The sequence below is a fragment of the Homo sapiens genome, chromosome 8, assembly GCF_000001405.40.
Source record: "Homo sapiens chromosome 8, GRCh38.p14 Primary Assembly".
Classification (NCBI taxonomy): Eukaryota; Metazoa; Chordata; class Mammalia; order Primates; family Hominidae; genus Homo; species Homo sapiens.
This window is the reverse complement of record NC_000008.11, coordinates 119,520,599-119,525,465: the sequence shown is the minus strand read 5'-3', so window position 1 is coordinate 119,525,465 and position 4,867 is coordinate 119,520,599.

Here is a 4,867-nt window from a genome sequence, read left to right as displayed (position 1 = left end):
GTCCTTCACATCCCTTGTAAGTTGGATTCCTAGGTATTTTATTCTCTTTGAAGCAATTGTGAATGGGAGTTCACTCATGATTTGGCTCTCTGTTTGTCTGTTATTGGTGTATAGGAATGCTTGTGATTTTTGCACATTGATTTTGTGTCCTGAGACTTTGCTGAAGTTGCATATCAGCTTAAGGAGGTTTGAGGCTGACACGATGGGGTTTTCTAAATACACAATCATGTCATCTGCAAACAGGGACAATTTGACTTCCTCTTTTCCTAATTGAATACCCTTTATTTCCTTCTCCTGCCTCATTGCCCTGGCCAGAACTTCCAACACTATGTTGAATAGGAGTGGTGAGAGAGGGCATCCCTGTCTTGTGCCAGTTTTCAAAGGGAATGCTTCCAGTTTTTGCCCATTCAGTATGATATTGGCTGTGGGTTTGTCATAAATAGCTCTTAATATTTTGAGATATGTCCCATCAATACCTAGTTTATTGAGAGTTTTTAGCATGAAGCGTTGTTGAATTTTGTTGAAGGCCTTTTCTGCATCTATTGAAATAATCATGTGGTTTTTGTCTTTGGTTCTGTTTATATGATGGATTACGTTTATTGATTTGTGTATGTTGAACCAGGCTTGCATCCTAGGGATGAAGCCAACTTGATCATGGTGGATAAGCTTTTTGATGTGCTGCTAGATTTGGTTTGCCAGTATTTTATTGAGGATTTTTGCATCGATGTTCATCAGGGATATTGGTCTAAAATTCTCTTTTTTTGTTGTGTCTCTGCCAGGCTTTGGTATCAGGATGATGCTGGCCTCATAAAATGAGTTAGGGAGGATTCCCTCTTTTTCTATTGATTGGAATAGTTTCAGAAGGAATGGTACCAGCTCCTCTTTGTACCTCTGGTAGAATTTGGCTGTGAATCCGTCTAGTCCTGGAGTTTTTTGGTTGGTAGGCTATTAATTTTGCCTCAATTTCAGAGCCTGTTATTGGTCTATTCAGGGATTCAACTTCTTCCTGGTTTAGTCTTGGGAGGGTGTATGTGTTGAGGAATTTATCCATTTCTTCTAGATTTTCTAGTTTATTTGCATAGAGGTGTTTATAGTATTCTCTGACAGTAGTTTGTATTTCTGTGGGATTGGTGGTGATATCCCCTTTATCATTTTTTATTGCGTCTATTTGATTCTTCTCTCTTTTCTTCCTTATTAATCTTGCTAACAGTCTATCAATTTTGTTGATCTTTTCAAAAAACCAGCTCCTGGATTCATTGATTTTTTGAAGAGTTTTTTGTGTCTCTATCTCTTTCAGCTCTGCTCTGATCTTAGTTATTTCTTGCCTTCTGCTAGCTTTTGAATGTGTTTGCTCTTGGTTTTCTAGTTCTTTTAATTGTGATGTTAAGGTGTCAACTTTATATCTTTCCTGCTTTCTCTTGTTGGTATTTAGTGCTATAAATTTCCCTGTACACACTGCTTTAAATGTGTCCCAGAGATTCTGGTATGTTGTGTCTTTGTTCTCATTGGTTTCAAAGAACATCTTTATTTCTGCCTTCATTTTGTTACGTACCCAGTAGTCATTCAGGAGCAGGTTGTTCAGATTCCATGTAGTTGAGTGGATTTGAGTGAGTTTCTTAATCCTGAGTTCTAGTTTGAGTGCACTGTGGTCTGAGAGACAGTTTGTTATAATTTCTGTTCTTTTACATTTGCTGAGGAGTGCTTTACTTCCAACTATGTGGTCAATTTTGGAATAAGTGTGATGCAGTGCTGAGAGGAATGTATATTCTCTTGATTTGGGGTGGAGAGTTCTGTAGATGTCTATTAGGTCCGCTTGGTGCAGAGCTGAGTTCAATTCCTGGATATCCTTGTTGACTTTCTCTCTCGTTGATCTGTCTAATGTTGACAGTGGGGTGTTAAAATCTCCCATTATTATTGTGTGGGGGTCTAAGTCTCTTTGCAGGCTTCTAAGGACTTGCTTTATGAATCTGGGTGCTCCTGTATTGGGTGCATATATATTTAGGATAGTTAGCTCTTCTTGTTGAATTGATCCCTTTACCATTATGTAATGGCCTTCTTTGTGTCTTTTGATCTTTGTTGGTTTAAAGTCTGTTTTGTCAGAGACTAGGATTGCAAGCCCTGCTTTTTTTTTTGTTTTCTGTTTGCTTGGTAGATCTTCCTCCATCCCTTTATTTTGAGCCTATATGTGTCTCTGCACGTGAGATGGGTCTCCTGAATACAGCACACTGATGGGTCTTGACTCTTTATCCAATTTGTCAGTCTGTGTCTTTTAACTGGAGCATTTAGCCCATTTACATTTAAGGTTAATATTGTTATGTGTGAATTTGATCCTGTCATTATGATGTTAGCTGGTTATTTTGCTCGTTAGTTGATGCAGTTTCTTCCTAGCATTCATGGTCTTTATAATTTGGCATCTTTTTGCAGTGGTTGATACCAGTTGTTCCTTTCCATGTTTAGTGCTTCCTTTAGGAGCTCTTGTAAGGCAGGCCTGGTGGTGACAAAATCTCTCGGCATTTGCTTGTCTGTAAAGGATTTCATTTCTTCTTCATTTATGAAGCTTAGTTTGGCTGGATATGAAATTCTGGGTTGAAAATTCTTTTCTTTAAGAATGTTGAATATTGGCTCCTACTCTCTTCTGGCTTGTAGAGTTTCTGCCGAGAGATCCACTGTTAGTCTGATGGGCTTCTCTTTGTGGGTAACCTGACCTTTCTCTCTGGCTGCCCTTAACATTTTTTTCTTCATTTCAACTTTGGTAAATCTGACAATTATGTGTCTTGGAGTTGCTCTTCTCGAGGAGTATCTTTGTGGCATTCTCTGTATTTCCTGAATGTGAATGTTGGCCTGCCTTGCTATGTTGGGGATGTTCTCCTGGATAATATCCTGCAGAGTGTTTTCCAACTTGGTTCCATTCTCCCTGTCACTTTCAGGTACACCAGTCAGATGTATATTTGGTCTTTTCACATAGTCCCATATTTCTTGGAGGCTTTGTTCATTTCTTTTTACTCTTTTTTCTCTCAACTTCTCTTCTTGCTTCATTTCATTCATTTGATCTTCAACCAGTGATACCCTTTCTTCCACTTGATCGAATCGGCTCCTGAAGCTTGTGCATGCATCACATAGTTCTTGTGCCATGGTTTTCAGCTCCATCAGGTCATTTAAGGTCTTCTCTACACTGTTTATTCTGGTTAGCCATTCATCTAATCTTTTTTTAAGATTTTTAGCTTCTTTATGATGAGTTCGAACATCCTCCTTTAGCTCAGAGAAGTTTGTTATTACCAGTCATCTGAAGCCTTCTTCTCTCAACTCGTCAAAGTCATTCTCCATCCAGCTTTGTTCTGTTGCTGGCGAGGAGCTGCATTCCTTTGAAGAAGAGGAGCTCTGATTTTTAGAATTTTCAGCTTTTCTGCTCTGGCTTCTCCCCATCTTTGTGGTTTTATCTACCTTTGGTCTTTGATGATGGTGACCTAGAGATGGGGTTTTGGTGTGGATGTCCTTTCTGTTTGTTAGTTTTCCTTCATTAGAAGGATCCTCAGTCAGGACCCTCAGCTGCAGGTTTGTTGGAGTTTCCTGGAGGTCCACTCCAGACCCTGTTTGCCTGGGTATCACCAGCAGACACTGCAGAACAGCAAATATTGCAGAATGGCAAATGTTGCTGCCTGATCCTTCCTCTGGAAGCTTCATCTCAGAGGGGCACCCGGCCATATGAGGTGTCAGTCAGCCCCTACTGGGTGGTGCCTCCCAGTTAGGCTACTCAGGGGCCAGGGACCCACTTGCGGAGGCAGTCTGTCCATTCTCAGATCTCAAACTCCGTGCTGGGAGAACCACTACTCTCTTCAAAGCTGTCCGACAGGGACATTTAAGTCTGCAGAAGTTTCTGCTGCCTTTTGTTCAGCTATGCCCTGCCCCCAGAGGTGGAGTCTACAAAGGCAGGCAGTCCTCCTTGAGCTGTGGTGGTCTCCACCCCTTTCAAGCTTCCCGGCCACTTTGTTTACCTACTCAAGCCTCAGCAATGGTGGTCATGCCTCCCCTAGCCTCACCGCTGCCTTGCAGTTCAATCTCAGAATGCTGTGCTAGCAGTAAGTGAGGCTCTGTGGGCGTGGGACCCTCCGAGCTGGGCATGGGACCCTCCGAGCCAGGCGTGGGATATAACCTTCTGGTATGCTGTTTGCTTAGACCGTTGGAAAAGTGCAGTATTAGGGTGGGAGTGTCCCAATTTTCCAGGTACCATCTGTCATGGCTTCCCTTGGCTAGGAAAGGGAATTCTGTGACCCTTTGTGCTTCCCGGGTGAGGTGATGCCCCACCCTGCTTCAGCTCATGCTCTGTGGGCTGCACCCACTGTCCGACAGGCCCCAGTGAGATGAAACTGGTACCTCAGTTGGAAATGCAGAAATCACCCGTCTTCTGCGTCACTAACACTGGGAGCTGTAGACTGAAGCTGTTCCTATTCGGCCATCTTGGAACCTCCCCAGAAGAGGGTTTTAAAACAGAAGTTGTGGACTTTGGTAACCAGCCACTGCTAACTTATGGCCTGGCAAGGAGGGGCCAGGAAGTCAATGCCTCCTTATCTTTCTCTATCTGATCGCCGCCTAGTACATCCCACTGTTTGGATTCAACCTGATGCTGGAAGGTTAAGGTCACTTAGTCGATGCAGGACAGGGAGGTCAGACTTCTGGGGCAAAGAACAAGTTAGAAAAGAATTGAGTGTAGATCAAGATGGGAAAATGCAACTATCCACCATAGGACGGCTACTTCTAATGGTGCTAGATGGCTTTAAAGAGATTGCCAAGTCAAATTCCTACATTCTTGGCTCAAGGAACAGCCTGAAATAGAAGTATTTTCTCTGACTATGGAAAAACAATATCATTT